Genomic DNA, 26,482 nt, shown 5'->3' with positions numbered 1-26,482 from the left:
TTTGTTTTGTTTTGTTTTGTTTTTAGATGGAGTCTTGCTCTGTCACCCAGGCTGGAGTGCAGTGACATGATCTCAGCTCACTGCAACCTCCGCCTCCCGGGTTCAAGTGTTTCTCCTGCCTCAGCCTCCCGAGTAGCTGGGATTACAGGCACCTGCCATCATGCCCGGCTAATTTTTGTATTTTTAATAGAGACGGGGTTTCACCATGTTGGCCAGGCTGGTCTCGAACTCCTGACCTCAGGTGATCCGCCTGCCTCTGACTCCCAAAGTGCTGGGATTGCAGGCATGAGCCACCACGCCCAGCCTACCATCCTATGTTTTTATCTCGCTTTTTCTTCTGTAATAAATTGTTTTTTTACCCTTTGCTGATAAGAATAGATAATATCACATCTTTTAATTTAGGAAAATAAAAGCAATTTTGGCACATTGCTTCAACAGTGCAACTCGAGATCTGAATTAGAAGGAAAAAGGAGAGAATTCCCTTTTGATCATTTTTAATAAAATTCTTAAGATATGTAGATATAGGTATAGATTGATAGGTATTTACTGTCTGTAATTGTTCTAAAATACCTAGGGTAAGGCTGGATGTGGTGGCTCACACTTGTAATGCCAGCCAGAGAATCGCTTGAACCCAGGAGGTGGAGGTTGCAGTGAGCTGAGACCGTGCCATTGCACTCCAGCCTGGGCAACAAGGGTGAAACTCCATCTCAAAAAAAAAAAAAAAAAAGATCCAGGGTAGTATATACAGGCTGCTGACCATTATGTGTATGAAATACAAGAATATAAGAAAAGGTATGCATATTAAATGTAAAAATATATACATAATAAACATAGGCCTGGCACGGTGGCTCACACTTGTAATCCCAGCACTTTAGGAGGCCGAGGCTGGCAGATCACTTGAGGCCAGGAGTTCGAGACCAGCCTGGCCAACATGGCAAAACCCCATCTCCACTAAAAATACAAAAATTAGCCGGGCATGTTAATCCCAGTTACTCAGGAAGCTGAGGTAGGAGGATCACTGAGCCCAGGAGGTCGAGGCTGCAATGAGCCATGATCAGGTCACTACACTCCTGGGTGATAGCACAAGACCCTGTCTCTAAAAATACAAATTATGAGCAGCTGAGGAGAACAGGAAAATAAAAAAATTAAAAATTAAAATTAAAAATGAAAAGAATTAAGCATAAGAGAATGTAAGGTTTAGAAGATAATCTAAGACTGTAATAGGTTTTATGTTCATTTTGTTTATCATTGGCAGGGATTTGCTTTTTATCTGCAAAGGTTGTCTGTGTAAGTCTGTGTATATGCATAATATACTATTTGTGAATGCAGTTTCCATGAGCAGGCACAAAATTACAGAGAGATTTAGTACAGGGAAAAGCCAGACTTCAGCAGCCCATTCATGAAGATCTAGTAATGTAGATGTTCTCACATCCTCCTTCCCTCTCAGATATGAGCCACTGCTGTTCAGAGGATTTCATATGAGGTTCATTCACATAGAAACTGCAATGATTCTTTGATTGTGTTTTTGTCTTAGTATAAAAAAAAAGGATTTTCAGCATGATTTGATGTTGGATGGCAGGCCATTGCTTAGAGGCTCCAGGCCTAATTCACCATCCCCTGTACCATGGTTGAATTAGAGTCTATGTGTGGCATTGATTTTGAGAACGGGAGATACTCATTTGAGAGGTAGTACTTTCAGGTGCTTTATGAATACTATCACACAATGGACTGAGTGAAATCTTCATGATAAAGCAAAGTTTTAGTGGTGGGGACTTTTTGAAGAACCCAGAACACTGAAATTGGAATGAGCATCAGATTTACAAGAATGGAGGTCATAAAGATGATGACCTACTGTGTGCCATGCCCTCTTAAACCTTATTAACAATCTGAAAAGCTCATATGCAAGGCAGGCATTGTTAGCTTAGATTTACAAGTGAGGCCTATAATCCCAGCACTTCGGGAGGCCGAGGTGGGTGGATCACTTGAGGCCAGGAGTTCGAGATCAGCCTGGCCAATATGGCAAAACCTCATCTCTACTAAAAATACAAAAATTAGCCAGGCGTGGTGGCACATGCCTATAGTCCCAGTTACTTGGGAGGCTGAGACATGAGAATCGCTTGAGCCTGGGAAGTGGAGGTTACAGTGAACCGAGATCATGCCACTGCACTCCAGCCTGGGCAACAGAGCAAGACTCTGTCAAGAAAAAAAAAGAAAAAAAAAAAGAAGGAAGGAGGGAGGGAGGGAGGAAGGGGAAGAAAACAAAAAAGATTTACAAGTGAGAAGACTGAGCTCAGGGATTACATAACCTGCCCAAGGCAAGAGACAGCCACGTTTGGCTGATTGTAGAGTCTGTGCCACCTTTGCCTCTCCATATGATAAAAAAAGTTGTCACAGAAAAAAAAAATCTTTGTATTAGCCATGTATTGATGTGTAACAAATTACCTAGAATTTAGCAGCTTAAAACAACAGACATTTATTATCTCATAGTTTCTGTGAGTCAGGAATCTAGTCACAGATTAGCTAGGTTCTCTGTCTCTGGATCTCTCATGAAGTTGGAATCAAGGTGGCAGCCGGGGCTGTGGTCTCATCTGAAAGCCTGATGGGTAATGGATCCACTTCCAAGCTGACTCATGTGGTTGTTGGCAGGTTTCAGTTGCTTGAGGGTTGCTGGACTGAAGGCCTCACTTTCTTGCTATAGAGGCCTCTCCATAGGGCAGCTCACACTGTGGCAGCTGGCTTCATCAGAGGGAGCAAAGAAGAGGGCAAGAGATAGTGACAGAGAGAGAGAACTAGCACATCAGAAGTCACAATCTTTTGGAGCCTAATCATAGAAGTGACATCCTACATCCTATCACTTTTGCCATATTCTGTTCATTAGAAGCTGGTCACTAGGTTCAGCCCACACTCAAGTGCAGGGATTTCCACATGGGTGTAAATATCAGAAGGCAGAAATCATTGGGGCCATGTCAGAAGCTGCCTATCACAGGACTCTTCTTGGCTCTGCTTTTAAAGAACTTGATTCACTGTGTCTTTATTCTTTTTTTTTTTTTTTGAAACGGACTCTTGCTCTGTCACTGAGGCTGGAGTGCAGTGGCGAAATCTTGGCTTACTGCAAGCTCCACCTCCCAGGTTCATGCCATTCTCCTGCCTCAGCCTCCCAAGTAGCTGGGACTACAGGCATCTGTCACCATGCCTGGCTAATTTTTTTGTATTTTTAGTAGAGACGGGGTTTCACCATGCTAGCCAGGATGGTCTTAATCTCCTGACCTCGTGATCCACCTGCCTCGGCCTCCCAAAGTGCTGGGATTACAGGCGTGAGCCACTGCGCCTGGCCTTTATTCTTTTAAGAGTAGGTAGATAATACATATACTGATGAACTGGAGACAATACATTTTTTTTTTTTTTGAGACGGAGTCTCGCTCTGTCGCCCAGGCTGGAGTGCAGTGGCACGATCTCGGCTCACTGCAAGCTCCGCCTCCCAGGTTCACGCCATTCTCCTGCCTCAGCCTCCTAAGTAGCTGGGACTACAGGCGCCCACCACCATGCTTGGCTAATTTTTTTTATATTTAGTAGAGACGGGGTTTCACCGTGTTAGCCAGGGTGGTCTCGATCTCCTGACCTTGTGATCCACCTGCCTCGGCCTCCCAAAGTGCTGGGATTACAGGCATGAGCCACCATGTCCGGCTGAGACAATACATTTTTAAAGATATATTTTTTGGATATTGGTTTGTGTGTTTATGTGTGTATATATATTTATATATATATATATATATTTTTTTTTTTAAAGAAATGGGGTCTCATTATGTTGCCTAGGCTGGCCTCGAAATCCTGGGCTCAAGAAATCCTGCCAGCTTAGCCTCCCAAGTAGCTGGGACTACAGGTGTGTGCCACTATAGCTGGCTTAATATATTTTTAATATTTATCTATGTATGTAAATTTATAGAAACATAAGTATTTATTTTTTATTTGTTTCACTCTGTTATCCAGGCTGGAGTGCAGTGCTGCAATCCTAGCTCACTATAGCCTCAAATTCCTGGGCTCAAGGGATCCTCCCACCTCAACCTCCCAAGTAGTTAGGACTACAGGCATGTGCCACCACACCTGGCTCATTGAAAAAAAAATTTTGTATAGATGGGATCTCTCTATGTTACCCAGTTTGATCTTAAACTCCTGGCCTCAAACGATCCTCCCAACTCAGCCTTCAAAGTCACTGGGATTACAGGTGTGAGCCACTGTGCCTGGCTCTTAAATTTATAATTTAGAACATATATTTAAAAATTAATGGAGGCCCTGCTGGTTAGGCATGTTGATACTGGAAGCATGAGATTCAGGAACTTTAAAAATTAATGGAAACCACTAAATGAGGAGAAATACCATCTATAACTTCAGAACCAGCAAAGGAAAAAATAAAATGTGTAATGGGGCAATTTCAAAAACTTTATCCATCTAACATATAATGGGAAAAGATGAGGGGGAACGGGGTAGTAAACAGCAAACATAAGATGGTAGAAATAAGTTCCAATACATAAGTAATCAAAATAAATATAAATGATTACATGCCTGTTGAAAACAGAGGTTATCAGATTGGATTTGTTGTTGTTGTTGTTAATTCAACTACAGACCTGTGACAGGAAACACGCTTAGAATAAAACCACAAAGAAAGGTTGAAAATAGAGGGATGGAAAAAGATACACCAAGCAAATATGAACCAAAAGAGAGTTGGACCACATAAACAACTGCCTAGTAGACCTTTCCATTTTTATGTGCTTTGACACCTCAAACTCAGTGTGCCCACAGAGAACTCATCATGTCACAGAGAGGAATGTCAGTGAACAAGTGCGGACCAAAGCCAGACTGGAGTAGGATAAGAGAGAGAAGGATATATGGCTAGGCACAGTGGCTCATGCCTATAATCCCAGTACTTTGGGAGGCCGAGGTAGGAAGATTGCTTGAGCCCAGGAATTTGAGATCAACCTGGGCAACATAGTGAAACCCCATCTCTGCAAAAAATACAAAAATTAACCAGGCACTGTGGCACATGCCTGTAGTCCCAGCTACTCAGGAGGCTGAGGTGAGAAGATCACTTGAGCCCTGGGAGGTGGAGGTTTCAGTGACCCATGATCTTGCCACTGCATTCCAGCCTGGGTGACAGAGTGAGACCCTATCTCAGAGAGAGAGAGACAGAGAGAGAGAGAGAGAGAGAGAAGTGTGGAGTCCATGAGGGAGGATGACTCTATTTAAGGTACTGACGTCCAGGAGAAGAGAACATGAATAGTGCTAAAGAAAGAGGTTTCCTCTCCCTCTCCCTCTCCCTCTCCCTCTCCCTCTCCCTCTCCCTCTCGGTCTCCCTCTCCCTCTCCCTCTCGGTCTCCCTCTCCCTCTCCCTCTCGGTCTCCCTCTCCCTCTCGGTCTCCCTCTCCCTCTCAGTCTCCCTCTCCCTCTCGGTCTCCCTCTCTTTCCACGGTCTCCCTCTCATGTCGAGCCGAAGCTGGACTGTGCTGCTGCCATCTCGGCTCACTGCAACCTCCCTGCCTGATTCTCCTGCCTCAGCCTGCCCAGTGCCTGCGATTGCAGGCGCGCGCCGCCACGCCTGACTGGTTTTCGTATTTTTTTGGTGGAGACGGGGTTTCGCTGTGTTGGCCGGGCTGGTCTCCAGCTCCTAACCGCGAGTGATCCGTCAGCCTCGGCCTCCCGAGGTGCCGGGATTGCAGATGGAGTCTCGTTAACTCAGTGCTCAATGGTGCCCAGGCTGGAGTGCAGTGGCGTGATCTCGGCTCGCTACAACCTCCACCTCCCAGCCGCCTGCCTTGGCCCCCCAAAGTGCCGAGATTCCAGCCTCTGCCCGGCCGCCACCCCGTCTGGGAAGTGAGGAGCGTCTCTGCCTGGCCGCCCATCGTCTGGGATGTGAGGAGCCTCTCCGCCTGGCTGCCCAGTCTGGAAAGTGAGGAGCGTCTCTGCCCGGCCGCCTTCCCACCTAGGAAGTGAGGAGTGCCTCTTCCCGGCCGCCATCCCATCTAGGAAGTGAGGAGCGTCTCTGCCCGGCCGCCCATTGTCTGAGATGGGGGGAGCGCCTCTTCCCCGCCGCCCTGTCTGGGATGTGAGGAGCGCCTCGGCCCGGCCACGACCCCGTCTGGGAGGTGAGGAGCGTCTCTGTCCGGCCGCCCCGTCTGAGAATTGAGGAGACCCTCCGCCTGGCAACCGCCCCGTCTGAGAAGTGAGGAGCCCCTCCGCCCGGCAGCCGCCCAGTCTGAGAAGTGAGGAGCCTCTCCGCCCGGCAGCCACCCCGTCTGGGAAGTGAGGAGCGTCTCCGCCCGGCAGCCACCCCGTCCGGGAGGGAGGTGGGGGGGTCAGCCCCCCGCCCGGCCAGCCGTCCCGTCCGGGAGGGAGGTGGGGGGTCAGCCCCCCGCCCGGCCAGCCGTCCCGTCCGGGAGGGAGGTGGGGGGTCAGCCCCCCGCCCGGCCAGCCGCCCTGTCCGGGAGGTGAGGGGCGCCTCTGCCCGGCCGCCCCTACTGGGAAGTGAGGAGCCCCTCTGCCCGGCCAGCCGCCCCATCCGGGAGGGAGGTGGCCGGGAAGGAGGTGGGGGGGTCAGCCCCCCGCCCGGCCAGCCGCCCCGTCCGGGAGGGAGGTGTGGGGGTCAGCCCCCCGCCCGGCCAGCCGCCCCGTCCGGGAGGGAGGTGGGGGAGTCAGCCCCCCGCCCGGCCAGCCGCCCCGTCCGGGAGGTGAGGGGCGCCTCTGCCCGGCCGCCCCTACTGGGAAGTGAGGAGCCCCTCTGCCCGGCCACCACCCCGTCTGGGAGGTGTACCCAACAGCTCATTGAGAACGGGCCATGATGACAATGGCGGTTTTGTGGAATAGAAAAGGGGGAAAGGTGGGGAAAAGATTGAGAAATCGGATGGTTGCTGTGTCTGTGTAGAAAGAAGTAGACATGGGAGACTTTTCATTTTGTTCTGTACTAAGAAAAATTCTTCTGCCTTGGGATCCTGTTGATCTGTGACCTTACCCCCCAACCCTGTGCTCTCTGAAACATGTGCTGTGTCCACTCAGGGTTAAATGGATTAAGGGCGGTGCAAGATGTGCTTTGTTAAACAGATGCTTGAAGGCAGCATGCTCCTTAAGAGTCATCACCACTCCCTAATCTCAAGTACCCAGGGACACAAATACTCTGCCTAGGAAAACCAGAAAAAAAAAAAAAAAAAAAGAGGTTTTAGTACAGCTTTGGGTATACTGGAAGCAGTTTTATTTGCAGAAGGTAAAAGGCTGTGCAATAGACTGAATGTTTGTGTCTCCCCAAACATGTTGATATCCTAACCCCTAATGTGATAGTATTAGAAGGTGGGACCTTTGGGAGGTGATTAAGTCATGACAGTGGAGCCCTCATGAATGGGATTGGTGCCCTTATGAAAGGGACCCCAGGCTGGGCGCAGTGGCACACGCCTGTAATCCCAGCACTGTGGGAGGCCGAAGCAGGTGGATCACCTGAGGCCAGAAGTTCAAGACCAGCCTGGCCAACATGGCGAAACCCTGTCTCTACTAAAAATACAAAAATTAGCTGGGCATAGTGGTGTTTGCCTGTAATCCCAGCTACTCAGGAGGCTGAGGCAGGAGAATCGCTTGAACCCAGGAGGCGGAGGTTGCAGTGAATGGAGATGGTGCCACTGCAGTCCAGCCTGGACGACAGAGTGAGACTCTGTCTCAGAAAAATATAAATACATAAATAAATAAATAAAAGGGACCCCAGAGAGTTCTTTCCACAATGTGAGGATACAATGAAAATTTAGCTGTCAGCAACCCTAAACAGCATCCCTACCAGAACCTGACCATGCTGGAACCGTAATGTCAGACTTCCAACCAGAACTGTTAAGAGAGAAATTTCTGTTGTTTATAAGCCACCCAGTCTATGGCACTTTGTTATACCAGTCAGAACTGACTAAGACAGAAATTGGTACTGAGAAGTGAGGGGTGCTATGTAACGAATACCTAAAAATGTGGAAGTGGCCTTGTAATTGTAATGACTAGAGGCTGGAAGAGTGCCATGGTTTGAATGTTCCCTCCAAAACTCATGTTGACCTTTAATTGCCATTGTAACAGTATTGAGAGGTGGGGTCTTTAAGAAGACATTAGGTCATGGGGCTGTCACCTTCATGAATGGACTAATGCTGTTATTGTGGGAGTGGCTTTGTTATAAAAGTGAGCTGTCTCTCGCATGCACCCTCTTGCCATTCTGTCTACCCATGATGGGATGATGCAGCATGAAGGCCTCATCTGATGCTAGCACCATGCTCTTAGACTTCCCAGCCTCCAGAACTGTGAGCTTGTTAAGCTTCTTTTTAAAATTATTTTTATTTTTTATTTTTTTGAGACAGAATCTCACTCTGTCACCCAGGCTGGAGTGCAGTGGCACGATCTCTGCTCACTGCAACCTCTGCCTCCCAGGTTCAAGCAATACTCCTGCCTCAGCCTCCCGACTAGCTGGGATTACACGCATTCATCACCAGGCCCAGCTAATTTTTGTATTTTTAGTAGAGATGGTGTTTCACCATGTTAGTCAGGCTGGTCTCAAACTCCTGACCTCAAGTGATCCACCCACCTTGGCCTCCCAAAGTGCTGGGATTATAGGTGTGAGCCACTGCACCTGGCTGAGCTTCTTTTCTTTATAAATTACCTGGTCTGTGGTATTCTGTTATAGCAACAGAAAACAGACTAAGACATAAATTTGGGTGCATGCGCTAGAAAAATCCTATATTGCCACCAGGTGCGGTGGCTCACACCTGTAATCCCAGCACTTTGGGAGGCCGAGGTGGATGGATTATGAGGTCAGGAGTTTGAGACCAACTTGACCACCACGGTGAAACCCCATCTCCACTAAAAATACAAAAAAAAAAAAAAAAATTAGCCGGGCGTGGTGGCGCACACCTGTAATCTCAGCTACTCAGGAGGCTGAGGCAGGAGAATTGCTTGAACCAGGGAGGTGGAGGTTGCAGTGAGCCAAGATTGCGCCACTGCACTCCAGCCTGGGCAACAGAGCAAGACTCCATCTAAAAAAAAGAAAAAGGAAAAAAAGAAAAATCCTATATTGCCATTGAATGGACCTTTAAAGGTGATTCTGATGAGCAGTCAGAAAGAAATGAGGAGAGCTGTAGAGAAAGCTTCTGCTTTCTTAAAGAATACATAAGTAATCATGAACAGATTGGTGGTAGAAATATGGGTGGTTAAAGGCTGTTCTGATGTGGTCTCAGGTAGAAATGAGGAACGTGTTATTGGACAGTGGAGAAAAGGTGATCCTTGTTATAAAGTAGCAAAGAACCTGGCTGAATTGTGTTTACGTTTTAGTGTTTTGTAGAGGGTAGGACTTGTGAACAGTGAAATGGAGATTTAGCTGAGGAGATCTCTAAGCAAAGTGTTGAAAGGAGAGGCTTGGTTCCTCCTGACTGCTTATAGTCAAATTTGAGAAGAGAGATATGAATTGAAAACAGAATTGTTATGCAAAAAGGAACCAGAACTTAAACTTACCCAAGCTATGAGGGTGACATTGCTCCCTCAGTGGGTCTGGAAAATTCTCAGCCTGTCCCTGTCCATATTACAAAACATGACAAAGCATGTTTGGAAGAGAACACTAAGGATCTGCTGGACTATTTGACAAGGAGATTACTGTGAATGTGAACTGTGGACTTCATTAACCATCTCAACAAAACAGCAATAGCGATGGGATTGTACTGGAAATGGCACTGCTGACTGGGACTAAAGGAAACAGAGAAAATGGGACAAAATGGCTGGGCACAGTGGCTCATGCCTGTAATCCCAACACTTTGGGATGCTGAGGCGGGTGGATCACCTGAGATCAGGAGTTCAAGACCAGCCTCACCAACATGGTGAAACCCTGTCTCTACTGAAAATACAAAAATTAGCCGGGTGCGGTGGTGCACGCCTGTAATCCCAGCTACTTGGGAGGCTGAGGCAGGAGAATCACTTGAACCCAGGAGGCGGAGGTTGCAGTGAGCTGAGATTGCACCACTGCACTCCAGCCTGGGTGCTGGGCAACAGAGGGAGACTCTGTCTCAAAAAAAAAAAAGAAAAAGAAAAAAAGAAAATGGGACAAAATGAAGGAAGATGATTAAACTTCTTAGATCCTATAGGACCAAACCATAGAACTATTCGGCTGTGAACACACACTGTTCTTCAAGATAAGGGAAGAAGAACCCTGAAGGTGATTCAGAGACCGTCCAGGTCACCAGTCCCATCAGAGGCCCAGAGTACATGGGCTTAGGGCATAGGACTACCTGCACCTCCATTTCTTTTTTTTTTTTTTTTTTGAGACAGAGTCTCGCTCTGTCATCCAGGCTGGAGTGCAGTGGCACAATCTTGGCTCACTGCAAACTCCGCCTCCCAGGTTCATGCCATTCTCCCACCTCAGCCTCCCAAGTAGCTGGGACTACAGGCGCCCACCACCACGCCCAGCTAATTTTTTGTATTTTTAGTAGAGACGGGGTTTCACCCTGTTAGCCAGGATGGTCTCGATCTCCTGACCTTGTGACTGGCCTGTCCTGGCCTCCCAAAGTGCTGGGATTACAGGTGTGAGCCACCACTCCCAGCCTCCACCTCCATTTCAAAGGGTGAGACCAATGCCCAGTAGAGCGGTGGGGATGGAGGCTCCCAGCAGAGCCCTGAGGCTACAACTCCTGCCCTGACAACCACAGCATGAGCAGTGAGTGCTGCCAAACTGTTGTTACCGGGCCGGGGGGTGGGGGTCCTTGCTTCCAGAGCTCCCAAGATGGTGGTGGGCTGCTTCCAAGATGGTGGCAAGCCTCGGGTTCTCTGACCTGGGGTTCTTGGCCTCACGGATTCCAAGGAATGGAGTCTTGGGCCATGCGTGAGTGTTATAGCTCTATTAAAAGCCGTGGGTCACGGAAGAGAACCGTGGAACCCAGTGACTAGTGTTCAGCTCGATTAGGACAAACACAGGCACTTAGCCATGCAGGAACAATGGCAAGCCTTTAGCCCGATCGGGAGCAGCAGTGGACGGCTTGCTGGATCAGGAGCACAGCGGACACCCTGCCGGATCTGGAGGGATGGAAGTCAATGGCGGGTCTGCGACGGCGGCAAACAGCAGTGGTGGACTGCAAGTGAAAGCTCAGCTCGAGCCGTAACAAACACGGACCAGAAGAGAGTGCAGCTGCAAGATTTAATAGAGTGAAAACAGAGCTCCCATACAAAGGGAGGAGACCCAAAGAGGGTAGCCGTTGCGGGCTCGAATGCCTGGGTTTATATCCCTATCATTGTCCCTCCCGCTGTGCTCTCAGGTGATAGATGATTAGCTATTTCTTTACCTCCTGTTTTTGCCTAATTAGCATTTTAGTGAGCTCTCTTTACTCCCTGATTGGTCGGGTGTGAGCTAAGTTGCAAGCCCCGTGTTTAAAGGTGGATTGCGGTCACCTTCCCACCTAGGCTTAGGGATTCTTAGTCAGCCTAGGAAATCCAGCTAGTCCTGTCTCTCACTGTGAGGGTGACATTGCCCCCTCAGTGGGTCTGGCATGAGGGACTGACACCCCAGTAGGTCTGGAGGCAAAGCTTCAAGCCAAAGAGGATTACCTGAGTCTCAAGATCTCACAGAACTTCCCTTGCTAGGTTTTGGACTTGCTTGGGACTTGTCACCCCGTCCTCCTTCCCTGTTTCTCCCTTTTGGAATGGGAATGTTTATAGACCCTCTTTGTGTCCCATCATTGTATTTTGGAAGCAAATACTTTGGTTTCTTTTAAGCAGCTGAAGAGGAATTTTGCTTCAGGGTGAGTTTCACCCATACCTGATTTAGATGATCTTTAGATGAGACTTTTGGCTTTAGACTTTAGAGTTCATACTGGAATGAGTTAAGATTTGGGGGGATGTTTGGATGGAATTGAATGTAGTTTGCATGTGAGAAGCACATGAATTGTCGGGGGCAGGCAGGTGTTGGAAGGCAATGGACTGAATGTTTGTGTTTTCCTGTCTTAGTCCAGTTTCTGTTGCTTATAACAGAATACCTGAAACTGGGTAATTTTAAAGGAAATGAATTTCTTTCTTACAGTTGTGGGGGCTGAGAAGTCTAAGGTCAAGGGGCTGCATCTGGTGGGGGACTTTTTGCTGGTGAGGACTCTGAAGAGTCCTGAGACAGTGCAGGGTATCACTTGGCAAGGGGCTGAGCGTGCTAGCTCAGATCCCTCCTCCTCCCTCCTGTTCCTCTTCTTCCTTTCTTTCTTTTTTTTTTTTTTTTGAGACAGAGTCTTGCTTTGTTGCCCAGGCTGGAGTGCAGTGGTGTGATCTCAGTTCACTGCAGCCTCCACCTCCTGGGTTCAAGAGATTCTCCTGCCTCAGCCACCCGAGTAGCTGGGATTACAGGCATGTGGCACCATGCCTGGCTAATTTTTGTATTTTTAGTAGAGATGGGGGTTTTGCCATGTTGCCCAGGCTGGTCTCGAACTCCCGACCTCAAGTGATCTGCCCACCTCAGCCTCCCAAGGTGCTGGGATTATAGGCATGAGCTACTGTGCCTGGCCTTAAAATACTTTCTAAAATGCTTAGATATTAGAGCTGCAAGGGCCCCTAGAGATCATCTGTGTCAGGGAGGACAAACCCTTTCTCTCACATCTTTATTCCTCACAACCCATGCTCAGGGCAGACATTGATATTTTGACTCAACCTGAAGATTTTTCTCATCCCTCACTTGGGACAGCTATTAAGCAGCCACCAGAGTTAGCACCTGGGGTTAGATTGTTTTAAAATATAACCAAGAATCTTTAAAAATTGAGGTATGGTGAGCCCAGCAGATCACAAGGCAACTGCCATTGAAAAGATAGTTTGTTACTCACAGTTCTCAAGAGGAGGGGGCTTGCCAAGCCATGGCCATGCAAGGGCCACATGGGAGGCACCAGGGTCAGTCAGGAGTCAGGAGTGAGGAGAAAGCATGGGCCCAGAGCCTTTATTGTAGGTTTTATGGGAAGGAATGGATGAGACAGGATTGGCAAGCTGAGAAACCTTAGGACTGGATAGTTTGAATGATTTTGGTGGGCTACAGGGTGGCCCCTAGTTGTTCAGTACCTGGCCCTGGAGGGGGAATATTGGCTGGTGTGTGAGAGTTAGAAAAAGGAGGTGGTTTGGGTATGGTCTCATGATTGTTGGTTTGCATATCAAAAGCATGCTCAGAGTCAAGTTCTGTAGGAATTAGTTAGCCCTGGGAGGGACAGTCTCTCCAAGATTAGCAAGGCCCCAAGATGTCAAAGCATCATGAAATACAGAAAATTAAAAAACACGATTAATGTGCATATCCATCCCCAGCCCTGATAACTGTAACACCTTCATAACAAAAGTGGAAACCTGGGCCGGGCGTGGTAGCTCACGCCTGTAATCCCAGCACTTTGGGAGTCCCAGGCAGGCTGATCACCTTAGGTCAGGAGTTCGAGACCATCCTGGCCAACATGGTGAAACCCCATCTCTACTAAAAAAAAAAAAAAAATTAGCTGGGCCTGGTGGTGCATGCCTGTAATTCCAGCTACTCAGGAGGCTGAGGCAGGAGAATCGTTTGAACCCAGGAGGCAGAGATTGCAGTGAGCCGAGATCACGCCATTGCACTCCAGCCTGGATGACAGAGCAAGACTCTTATCTCAAAAAACAAAACAAAACCAAGTGGAAGCCTGAAACAGATGAATAAAGTGATTTGTACAAAGTGAGGCAGCCAGTTAGTGTCAGAGACCTCTAAGTGTCTCAACTCAGTCCATCTCTTTGTCACTTTTTCCATAGCAAGCTAGCTCCTTCTCCTGCTCCATCTCACTAATTGCTAGTAGATCAATTTTCTTAGGTTGGTATGTCATTCTGTGCATAATGCACAGAAATCGCCTTGCAAAAGCCAAAGTAGCTTTGATGTGACTTCTAAAACGAAACTGCTGCTGCTCAGTGGAGAATGATCTTAAAAGGCTGCCAAGGCATGCCCTTCATGTCAGAAATGTCTACCATTGCTTTTCATGCATGTCTCTGCCACTGTGCAAACTATATCTTTTGTTCTAATCAAATAATTTAATAATAAATATTGCAGAAACTGTTTTAAATCTCTTATACTAATTATATTAATTGACCTAATTTTCACAGCAACCCTATGAGTACGGGTTTATCTCCATCTTGTTTTATTTAATTTGGAGACAGAGTCTCACTCTCTCGCCCAGGCTGGAGTGCAATGGCACGATCTCCACTCACTGCAGCCTCCTCCTCCTGGGCCCAAGCGATCTTCCCACCTCAGTCCCCCAAGTAGCTGAGACTACAGGTGTGCACCACCACACTCAGCTAATTTTTGTATTTTTTGTAGAGACGGGATTTTGCCGTGTTGCCCAGGCTGGTCTTGAACTCCTGACCTCAAGCAATCCACCCACCTCTGCCTCTCAGAGTGCTGGGATTACAGGCATGAGCCACCACGCCCAGCTCATATACCCATTTTAAAGATGAGGAAAGTGCAGCACAGAGACATTCAGTAACTGGCACAGCTAATAAGTGGCAGAACTGGAATTCAAATCCAAGCTAACTCCAGAGTCCCCCTCTTTACCACCACACACTGCCAACAGAAATGTTGTTCTGACTGCAAAGAAATTGCTCACTTTTTAATTTAAGAAAAAAGGATGATCAAGAGAATGAGATGATAGCCAGGTGTGGTAGTGTGCACCTGTAATCCCAGCTACTTGGAGGTTGAGGCAGGAGAATTGCTTGAACCCAGGAGGCAGAGGTTGCAGTGAGCCGAGATTGCACCACTGCACTCCAGCCTGGGTGACAGAGTGAGACTCCGTTCCCCCCTCCCCACAAACGTGAATGAAATGACAAGCCACAATATTTGCAAAAGAGGTGTCTGATAAATGACTATTATCCAAAATTGCAAAGAGCTCTTAAAACTCAACGGTAAGAAAATGAACAACCTGATTAAAAAATGGGCAAAAGACCTGAATAGACACCTCACCAAAGAAGGTGGACAGATGGCAAATAAGCATATGAAGATGCCCAACATCATATGTCATTAGAGACTTGCAAATTAAAACAACAGTTAGGCTGGGCGCAGTGGCTCATGCCTGTCATCCCAGCACTTTGGGAGACCAAGGCGGGCGGATCACCTGAGGTCAGGAGTTCAAGACCAGCCTGACCAACATGGAGAAACCCCGTCTCTACTAAAAATACAAAATTAGCTGGGCGTGGTGGCACATGCCTGTAATCCCAGCTACTAGGGAGGCTGAGGCAGGAGAATTGCTTGAACCTGGGAGGCGGAAGTTGCGGTGAGTCAAGATCGCGCCATTGCACTCCAGCCTGGGCAACGAGAGTGAAACCCTGTCTCAAAATTAAAAAAATAAAAAATAAAATAAAACAACAGTGAGATGCCACTACACACCTATTAGAATGGTGAAAACAACACACTGACAACACCAAATGCTGTCGAGGATGTGGAGCAACAGAAACTCTCATTCATGAGAATGCAAAATGGCACAGCCACTTTGGAAGACAGTTTGGCGGCTTCTTACAAAACTAAACATACTCTTACTATACCATCCAGTAATTGCATTCCTTGATATTTACCCAAATGACTTGAAAACTTATGTCCCCACGTAAATCTACACACAGGAATGTTTATAGCAGCTTTATTCATAATTGCAAAAACATGGAAGCAACCAAAATGTCCTTTGGTAGGTGAGTGGATAAATAAACTGGTACATCCAGATAGTGGAATATTATGCAGTGAGAAAAAGAACTGAGCTACCAAGCCATAAAAAGACATGGAAGAGGCCAGGCGCGGTGGCTCATGCCTGTAATCCTAGCACTTTGGGAAGCGGAGGCAGGTGGATCACTTGAGGTCAGGAGTTTGAGACCAGCCTGGCCAACATGGTGAAACCCCATCTCTACTAAAAATGAGCTGGGCGTGGTGGCACACGCCTGTAATCCCAGCTACTCAGGAAGCTGAGGCAGGAGAATCACTTGAACCCGGGAGGCGGAGGTTGCAGAGAGCCGAGATCGCGCCACTGCACTCCAGCCTGGGTGACAGAGCGAGACTCTGTCTCAGAAAAAAAAAAAAAAATGGAGGAAACTTAAATGCATATTACTAAGTGATAGGTTTGGCTGTGTCCCCACCCAAATCTCATCTTGAATTATAGCTCCCATAATTCCCACGCGTTGTGGGAGAGACCCAGTGGGAGATAACTGAATCATGGGGGGCAGTTTCCCTCATATTGTTCTCATGGTAGTGAATAAGTCTCACAAAATCTGATGGTTTCATAAGGGGAAAACCCTTTTGCTTGGTCCACATTCTCTTTTATCTGCCACCATGTAAAACATGCCTTTTACCTTCCACCATTATTGTGAGGCCTCCCCAGCCACGTGGAACTGTGACTCCGTTAAACCTCTTTATAAATTACCCAGTCTTGGGTATGTCTTTATAAGCAGCATGAGAACAGACTGATATACTAAGTGAAAGAAGCCAATCTGAAAAGGCTACATACTGTATGATTCCAACTATATGACATTCCGGAAAAGGCAAAACTAAGGAGGCAGTAAAAAGATTAGTGGTTTACAGGAGTTGAGGGGAAGGAGAGATGAATAAGTGGAGCACAGAGGATTTTTAGGGCAGTGAAACTACTCTGCATGATACTGCAATGATGGATATGTGTCCTTGTATCTTTGTCAAAACCCATAAAATATACAACACGAGTGAGTCATAATGTAAACTATGGACTTTGGGTGATGATGATGCGTCAATTGCAGGTTCATCAATTGCAACAACTGTACAGCTCTGGTTAGGGGTGGTGATAGTGACAGAGGTTGTGGGTGTGTAGGGGCAGGAGTTATCTGGGAAATTTCTGCACTTTCTGCTCAATTTTGCCATGAACCTAAAACTGCTCTAAAAAATAAAGTCTTAAAAAAAGATGAAATTTTAAAACAATGATTCCAAAGTCATTTTGGGCATGTTGGCATCCTGAGATTATAAACAAGATTATGATTATAAACGAGGTCATGGTTATGATCAGAGGAAACTATGTGCTTTGTAGCAAACTGTTTCCTTGAAAAATTTCTGAACTGTACATTTGTAAGCATCAAGCTGAATGGATACAGTATGAAAACACTGTCCACCAGCTCTTTCCAAATGTAGAGCAGTTAATGGGTAAAAAGGAAGCCACTACTCTTTGTCTTCATCCATTTCCGAGAGAGAAGAGCAATACTTAAATTGTCTTTGATGCTATTTGTTTGACACCATTAATTCTTGTCATGCAATGTTTTTCTCTTTCATTTCTCAGCATGGGAAAAAAGGTGGAACAAAGAGAACCCCAGGCCTGGCCCTGTGAGTCTTCTTGGCCTTCTGTTAAATCACTGGCTTTCTAATTGGGCGACAGCTGGGGAGGATCCCTGCTGCTCCCCAGGGTTTCCTGAGGCCGCACGCAGCCTTTCCCCCCAACCTTGTAAGGGAGAGGAAATGGCATGGATCTGTCCAAGCTCTCTAACCAGAAACTGCATCTGTTAGCTCATGTCAGAGTGACCTAAAAGTTGCCTCTTGGCAACGCTTGGGCGATAGAAGAGACTCCTGCTGCCACCCTCAGGGTAAAATGAATAACTGAATTAGATACTTGAAATCAGAAGGGAAAACATATCGGGATCTTGTTGACAATTCATCCCTTCTATCCATTCCTTTATTTTATTTTTATTTTTAATCTTTTTATTTATTAATTTTGTACTTGGTTTAGCTCATGATTTCATTATTTTATTTTTTGGGGGACAGGCTTTCATTCTGTCACCCAGGCTGGAGTGCAGTGGCATGATCTCAGCTCACTGCAGCCTCGACCTCCTTGGCTCAGGCAATCCTCCCACCTCAGCCTCCTAAGTAGCTGGGACCACAGGCATGAGCCACCACGCCCAGATAATTTTTTTTATTTTTGGTAGTGACGAGGTCTCCCTATGTTGCCCAGCGTGGTCTTGAACTCCTGGAATCAGGCGATCCTTCCACTTCAGCCTCCCAAGTAGCTGAGACTACAGGTGTGAGCCACCACATGTGGCTAATTTTTGTATTTTTAGTAGAGACGGAATCTCACAATGTTGCCCAGGCTACATCTTGAACCCCTGGGCTCAAGCAATTCGCCTGCCCCGGCCTCCCAAAGTGCTGGGATTACAGGCATGAGCCACCATGCCTGGCCTCTATCAATTCCTTTACTAACAATTGACGTACGTTTGGAATCTTCCCTATAGAAATAGCATGCATTGTAGGCACTTCATCAGCCACCAACTTCTACTGCCTTCACTTGGTTGTAGTTCCCAATGATTCCAAAGACATGAGAGATTGTTTTTCAAAAAATATGTATTAAATACCTGTTGCACATGGCAGCTTGCCAGGTAATGTGTAAGGATAATGAAACCTGCCTGGCCTCTCCTCTCCAGAAATGTATCATTGCAGAGGGGCACAGGGATGAAAAGACATCTATTTGGCCAAACCCAATGTGTATTAGTGTTAAATAAAAACACTCAAAAACATTTTAAAAAGAAGAGCACAGGTGCAAGAAAAAGCAGAGTCAGAATGAACCAATACAGAGGTGGAAAGCTACTTCCCTTTAACATATTCCAGCCACAGACGCATACATTTTGGGAACAGGGTTAAGAAAGGGTAGAAAGCAAAAGAATGGGGCCAGGTGAGGTGGCTCACACCTGTAATCCTAGCACTTTGGGAAAAACAGTGTGAAACCCCGTCTCTACTAAAAATACAAAAATTGGCCGGGCGCAGAGGCTCACATCTGTAATCCCAGCACTTCGGGAGGCCGAGGTGGGTGGATCACCTGAGGTCAGGAGTTCAAGACCAGCCTGGCCAACATGGTAAAACCCCGTCTCTACTAAAAATACAAAAATTAGCCAGGCACGGTGGTGGGTGCCTGTAATCCCAGCTACTTGGGAGGCTGAGGCAGGAGAATTGCTTGAACCTGGGAGGCAGAGGTTGCAGTGAGCCAAGATCGCACCACTGCACTCCAGCCTGGACAACAAAGCAAGACTCGGTCTCAGAAAATAAATAAATAAATAAATAAATATACAAAAATCAGCCAGTCGTGGTGGCACACGCCTGTAATCTCAGCTACTCAGGAGGCTGAGGCAGGAGAATTGCTTGAACCTGGGAGGCAGAGGTTGCAGTGAGCCAAGATCACACCACTGCACTCCAGCCTGGGTGACAGAACCAGACTCCTCAACTCTAAAAAAAATAATATAATAATAATAATAATAATAATAATAAAGAAAGCAAAGAATAGGGCCTCTAGAGAACAAAATTTTGGCAGAAGTGGTTGGGATTAAATCCTATGTGGTTAAACAAAGCCCCATTAGCCAAGGGTCTAAGCTTTTCTACATTGTATTCTTTCTGTCATCATCATCATCACTTTTTTTTTCTTGAGACGGAGTCTCACTCTGTTGCCCAGGCTGGAGTGCAGTGGTGCGATCTCGGCTCACTGCAACCTCTGCCTCCCAGGTTCAAGTGATTCTCCTGCCTCAGCCTTCCAAGTAGCTGGAATTACAGGCACATGCCACCATGCCTGGCTAATTTTTTGTATTTTTAGTAGAGACAGGGTTTCACCATGCTGGCCAGGCTGGTCTTGAACTCCTGACCTCAGGTGATCCACCCACCTCGGCCTCCCAAAGTGCTGGGGTTAGAGGCGCGAGCTACTGTGCCTGGCCTCATCATCACTTTTTAAACTGTTAAAGAACATCTACTTCCGGCAGTTACCACCTGGATAATATGTCCCTTTGGTCACCTCTGGTTCTAATTCCACTGTCCCCAGAATTCTTGTTCTTTTCTCTGTTTCTCTGTGTTTATAGGGCCAAGGGAGAAAGATGACAAGCTGACAAGCCCGGGCCACACAGCAGAAAATATAACAAAGTCAAACAGAGGACATCCACTTTCTTAGAAGTCCCCTTACCTCCCAGCAGCTGAAGATTCCTGCTGCCCACAGAACCCCCAGGCTTACCTCTCCCTCCCCATTTCTTCCTCACTCCATTCCTGAAAGATTGCCTCTGGCTGTCTGCTTCAGGCAATGCCCGGCGCAAGACCCAAGTTAGAATTCTTATCTTTTTTCATTTTGTTCTTTTAGAAGATCCTCCCTTCTGCAAAGGTTGCCACTTTTTTGAGACAATAGGGAGAATATTGGTGACGTCATTATAAATTATTAAGATATGATATTTATATTTTGAAATTGTAAGAAAATTAGGCAGGGCATGGTGGCTCATTGCCTATAATCCCAGCACTTTTGGAGGCCAAGTTGGGAGGATGGCTTGAGGCTAGGAGTTCGAGACCAGCCTGGCGAACATGGCGAAATCCTGTCTTTACGAAAAAAGAAAAAGAAAAAGAAAAATTAGCTGGGTGTGGTGGTGCATGTCTGTATTCCCAGCTACTTGGGAGCCTGAGATGGGAGGATAGCTGGAGGCCGGGAGGTCAAGGCTGTAGTGAGCTATGATCACACCACTGCACGCCAGCCTGGGTGACAGAGCAACACCCCGTCACTGAAAGAAAAGAAAAAATAAATTGTAAGAAAATTAATACATGATATGGATACTACCTCCCCCCCCAAAAAAAACCTAGCTGTAAACATATGTGTGTATGCATGGTGCATGGGAGAGGGGCAGAGTGTTGCCACCTTTCAATTTTGCCGAGTTAGGACATTAAACAAACTAACAAAGCCTCACTGTCTAACTATTTTATGAAATAACAAACATGATTTTATCGTTAAAAAGGAAAGCAGGGACACCCCATCCTCTACAGCTTCAGAGGAGAAAGAATGGATTTTTAACGTTCTCACCACACAAAAATGATAAATTGGTGAGGTATTGGGTGTGTTAATTAGCTTGACTCTCTATAATGTGTACATAAATCAAAACATCATGTTGTACTGCCTGAATAAACAAAATAATTATAAATTTTAAAAAAATCGTAGACTGGGCACAGTAGCTCATGCCTGTAGACCCAGCACTTTGGGTGGCTGACGCGGGAGGACTGCTTGTGCCCAAGAGGTCAGGGCTGCAGTGAGCTGTGATCACGCCACTGCCCTCCAGCCTGGATTACAGAGTGAGACCCAGTCTCAAAAATAATATATAATAATAAAAAGGGCCGGGCGCCGGTGGCTCATGCCTGTAATCCCGGCACTTTGGGAGGCCAAGACAGGCAGATCACCTGAGGTCAGGAGTTCGAGACCATCCTGGCCAATATGGTGAAACCCCGTCTCTACTAAAAATACAAAAATTAGCCTGCTGTGGTGGCACACACCTGTAATCCCACCTACTCAGGAGGTGGAGGCAAGAGAATTGCTTGAACCCAGGAGGCAGAGGTTGCAGTGAGCCGAGATGACACCACTGCACTCCAGCCTCGGCGACAGAGCGAGACTCTGTCTCAATAAGTAGGAGAAGGAGAAGGGGAGGAAGGGGAGCAAGGGGAGGAAGAAGAATGGCTGTGCAGATGTCAAGCAGGAGAGTGAGAAGGAAGGAGACTTCCAGCTTTCCAGCATCTGCTGAGGGGATAAGGAAATCAGCTTGGGATACTGGTAGACTTTGGCAGACCTTTGGAAGGAGTTGGGAATTTCTTCCCCGGGACAAACAAAAGATGTTTATGATGGTGTTAAGGCCCATCAGCACTTGTGCTCCATCACTTCTTGGTGTAAGAATTGGTGTGGCTGGCCGGGCGCAATATCCATTGAACAGCAACTCCCCATTTCCCCATCCTCTCAGCCCCTGGCAACCACCATCCTAGTGTTTTGTTTCTATGAGTTTGACTACTCTGGATACCCCATATAAGTGGAATCATGCCATAGTCATACAACAAGTGATGATGTTTCTGTCAATGACAGACCACATATATGACAGTTGTCCCATAAGATTATAATACAGTTGAAAAATTCCTATCATCTGGCCAGATTATAGGCTCACGCCTATAATCCCAGCACTTTGGGAGGCCAAGGTGGGTGGATGACTTGAGGTCAGGAGTTCAAAACCAGCCTGGCCAACATAGCGAAACCCCATCTCTACTAAAAATACAAAAATTACCCGACTGTGGTGGCACATGCCTTTAATCCCAGCTACTCAGGAGGCTGAGGCAGGGAGAATCGCTTGAACCCAGGAGGCAGAGGTTGCGGTGAGCCAAGATTGCACCACTGCACTCTAGCCTGGGCAACAGAGTGAGACTCTGTCTCAAAAAAAAAAAATTCCTATCATCTAACCATAGCACAACACATTACTCACGTGTTTGTGGTGATGCTGGTGTAAACCTTCTGTGCTGCCAGTCCTATAAAAGTACTGTAGCGAGGCACGGTGGCAGGCATCTGTAATCCCAGCAACTCAGGAGGCTGAGGTGGGAGGATCACTTGAGCCCAGGAGATTGAGGCTTCAGTGAGCTAGGATTGGGCCACTGCACTCCAGTCTGTCGATAGAGTGAGACCTTGTTTCCAATAAAATAATAAAATAAGAGTAGAATAGAATAGAATAAAATAAAATAAAAATACTGAATCACATATACAGTTATGTATAGTACATAATATTTGATGATAATAAACAACTGTTACTGGTTTATGTGTTTACTATGCCATAGTTTTAATCATTATTTTAGAGTGTACTCTTATGTACACAAAAAGGTTAACTGTAAAACACCCTTAGGCAGATCTTCAGAAAACATTCTAGAAGAAGGCATTGTTACAGGAGATGACAGCTCCATGCCTGTCATTGCTCCTGAAGACCTTCCAGTGGGAAAAGATACAGAGGTGGAAGACAGTGATGTTGATGATCCTGACCCTGTGTAGGCCTAGGCTAACGTGTGTGTTTGTCTCAGTTTTAACTAAAAAGTTCAAAATGTTAAAATATATATATAGTATATATATATTTATCTCTCTATAGCATATATATACTATATATATAGCATATCTCTATATAGCATATATATACTATATATAGCATATATATACTATATATAGCATATCTCTATATAGCATATATATACTATATATAGCATGCCTCTATATAGCATATATACTATATATAGCATACCTATATATAGCATATATATATACTAGATATATAGCTATATATATATATATATATATATAGAGAGAGAGAGAGAGAGAGAGAGAGAGAGAGAGAGTGAAGACAGGGTATCACTCTTTCACCCAGGCTGGAGTGCAGTGGTGCAATCTCAGCTCACTGTAGCCTCAATCTCCCCGGCTCAAGCAGTCCTCCCACCTCAGTCTCCCTAGTAGCTGGGACTACAGGTGTGCACCACCATGCCCAGCGAATTTTTTGTAGGGATGGGGTTTCACCATGTTGCCCAGGCTGGTCTCAAACTCCTGGGCTCAAGCAATATGTAAAATATTTTTAAAAATAGAAAAAACTTATACAATAAGGATATAAAGAAAGAAAATATTTTTGTACAACTATACAATGTCTTTAATTTTAGACCAAGTGTTATTACAAAAGAGTAAAAAAGTTTTTTAAAAACTAAAAAGTCCATAAAGTTACAGTAAACAAAGGTTAATTTATTATCGAAGAAAGAAAATTTTTTAAATTTCTTTTTCTCTCTTTTTTTAATTTTAATTTTTTGAATGGTACTGCTCCTTGAGAAGCAGGGCTAACTCATAGGTAGTGTGCCCAGAGTCAGCCAAGAAAAATATTTTAAATGAGCCGGGTGCAGTGGCTCACACCTGTAATCCCAGCGCTTTGGGAGGCCGAAGCGGACGGATCGCTTGAGGTCACGAGTTAGAGACCAGCCTGGCCAACATGGTGAAACCCCGTCTCTACTAAAAATACAAACATTAGCCAGACATGGTGTCGGGTGCCTGTAATCCCAGCTACTCAGGAGGCTGAGGCAGGAGAATCGCTTGAACCCTGGAGGCGAAGGTTGCAGTGAGCCCAGATCGTGCCACCTCACTCCAGCCTGGGAGACAGAGTGAGATTCTGTCTCAAAAAAAAAAAAAAAAAAAATAGGAAGAATTTTTTTTTTTTTGAAACGAAGTTTCACTCTTGTTGCCCAGGCTGGAGTGCAATGGTGTGATCTCAGCTCACCACAACCTCTGCCTCCTAGGTTCAAGCGACTCTCCTGCCTCAGCCTCCCAAGTAGTTGGGATTACAGGTATGTGTCACCTCACTCAGCTAATTTTGTATTTTTAGTAGAGACAGGGATTCTCCATGTTGGTCAGGCTGGTCTCGAACTCCTGACCTCAGGTGATCCGCCTGCCTCGGCCTCCCAAAGCGCTGGGATTACAGGCGTGAGCCACCTCACCTGGCCCAAAAAAGAAAAATATTTTAAATAAATGTAGTGTAGCCTAAGTGTACAGAATTTATAAAGTCCATGGTAGTGTACAGGAATGTCCTAGGCCTTCCCATTCACTCACCACTCACACACTGACTCACCCATAGCAACTTCCAGTCCTGCAAGCTCTACTCATGGTTAATGCCCTATGCAGGTGTCCCATTTTTATAGGTTCAGGTCTTAACATTTAAATCCATTTATTTAAAAATAAATGTAGGCCGGGCGCAGTGGCTCACGCCTGTAATCCCAGCACTTTCGGAGGCCGAGGTGGGAGGATTACCTAAGGTCGGTAGTTCGAGACCAGCCTGACCAACATGGAGAAACCCTGTCTCTACTAAAAATACAAAAAATTAGCCAGGCGTGGTGGCGCATGCCTGTAATCCCAGCTACTCGGGAGGCTGAGGCAGGAGAATCGCTTGAACCTGGGAGGCAGAGGTTGCAGTGAGCCGGGATCACGCCATTGCATTCCAGCCTAGGCGACAGAGTGAGAATCTGTCTCAAAAAAATAAATAAATAATAAAATAAAATAAAATGTATTTATTTACATTTATTTAAAAATAAATTTCTTTATTAAAATAATGGAATAATTAAAATAAATTCCAAATTATTTTTGTGTGTAGTGTAAGATAAGGGTCCATTTCATTATTTTGCATGTGGATATCAAATTTTTCCTATACCATTTGTTGAAGAGATTATCCTTTTCCTCTTGTGTATTCAGAGCACCTTTGTCAAAGATTAGTTGGCCATATATGTGAGGTTTATTTCTGGGCTCTTGATTCTGTTTCATTGGTTTCTATGTCTGTCTGTTTTTATGCCAGTAGCATACTGTTTTAATTACTGAAGCCTTGTAATAGATTTTGAAATCAGAAAGTGTGATGACTCTTTTGTTCTTCTTTCTCAAGATTGTTTTGGCTGTGAGGCCTTTTGTAGTTCCATATGGATTTTTGGATTTTTTTCTATTTCTGTAGAAAATGTCATTGAGATTTTGACAGGGATTGCATTGAATCTGTAGACTGCTTTGGGTAGTATAGACGTTTTAACTATATTAAGTCTAACAATCCACAAGCCCAGGATGTCTTTCTGTTCATTGGTATTGTCTTCAATTTCTTTAATTAATGTTACATAGTTTTCAGTGTACATGTCTTTCACGTCTGGTTAAATTTATTCCTAAGTATTTTATTCTTTTTGATGCTATTGTAAATGGAATTATTTTCTTAATTTCCCTTCCAGATAGTTCATTGTTAGTGTATAGAAATGCAACTGACTTTTTTTTTCGAGACAGAGTTTCACTCTTGTTGCCCAGGCTGGAGTGCAATGGTGCAATCTCGGCTCACTGCAACCTCCACCTCCCGGGTTCAAGCGATTCTCCTGGCTCAGCCTCCTGAGGAGCTGGGATTACAGGCACTCAGCACCAAGCCCAGCTAATATTTTATATTTTTAGTAGAGACGGGGTTTCGCCATATGGTCCAGGCTGGTCTCGAGCTCCTGACCTCAGGTGATCCACCCACCTCTGTCTCCCAAAGTGCTGGGATTACAGGTGTGAGCCACCGTGCCCGGCACAACTGATTTTTTAATGTTGATTTTGTATCCTGCAACTTTACTGAATTTGTTTATTAGTTCTCACAGTTATTTTGTGGAGTGTTTAGAGTTTTCTAGATATAAGATTCTATCATCTGTAAACAGGTAGTTTTTTTTCTTTCTGATTTGGTTGCCATTTATTTATTTATTTATTTATTTATTTATTTAGGAGATGAAGTCTCGCTCTGTTGCCCAGGCTGGAGTTGCACCCTCTGCCTCCCGGGTTCAAGCAATTCTCTCACCTCAGCCTCCTGAGTAGCTGGGTCTATAGGCGTGTGGCACCACGCCTGGCTAAGTTTTTGTATTTTTAGTAGAGACGGGGTTTCATCATGTTGACCAGGCTGGTCTTGGAACTCCTGACCTCAAGTGATCAGCCTGCCTCAGCCTCCCAAAGTGCTGGGATTATAGGCGTGAGCCACTGCACTTGGCCTGTTGCCTTTTATTTCTTTTTTTTTCTTTTTTATTTATTTATTTATTTATTTATTGAGATGGAGTCTGGAGTCACCCAGGCTGGAGTGCAGTGGCATGATCTCGGCTCACTGCAAGCTCCGCCTCCTGGGTTCACGCCATTCTCCCGCCCCAGCCTCCCGAGTAGCTGGGACTACAGGC

General features: G+C 45.9%; 1 long non-coding RNA gene across 1 annotated transcript, besides 1 other annotated feature; it reads right to left on the bottom strand.

The window, feature by feature from the left end:
- Positions 1-2,448: 2,448 nt before the first annotated feature.
- LOC124905186 (uncharacterized) lies at positions 2,449-22,363 on the bottom strand. Its single transcript, XR_007068228.1, has 2 exons — positions 22,240-22,363; positions 2,449-2,736 (listed from the first exon to the last, which is right to left on the bottom strand). It is a non-coding gene; the product is annotated as an uncharacterized LOC124905186 (long non-coding RNA).
- Positions 16,951-17,613: an enhancer, noted in NCBI's record as "OCT4-NANOG hESC enhancer chrX:48506792-48507454 (GRCh37/hg19 assembly coordinates)". NCBI's record gives its function as "activates a minimal SCP1, AML or CMV promoter by ChIP-STARR-seq in naive H9 embryonic stem cells {active_cell/tissue: H9 hESC(naive)}" and the evidence as "EXISTENCE:reporter gene assay evidence [ECO:0000049][PMID:30033119]".
- Positions 22,364-26,482: the final 4,119 nt, after the last annotated feature.

This window comes from Homo sapiens, chromosome X (genome assembly GCF_000001405.40).
Source record: "Homo sapiens chromosome X, GRCh38.p14 Primary Assembly".
NCBI classification, from domain to species: Eukaryota; Metazoa; Chordata; class Mammalia; order Primates; family Hominidae; genus Homo; species Homo sapiens.
Note: the sequence above shows the minus strand (reverse complement) of the source record. Positions and strands in the feature narration are given on the sequence as shown.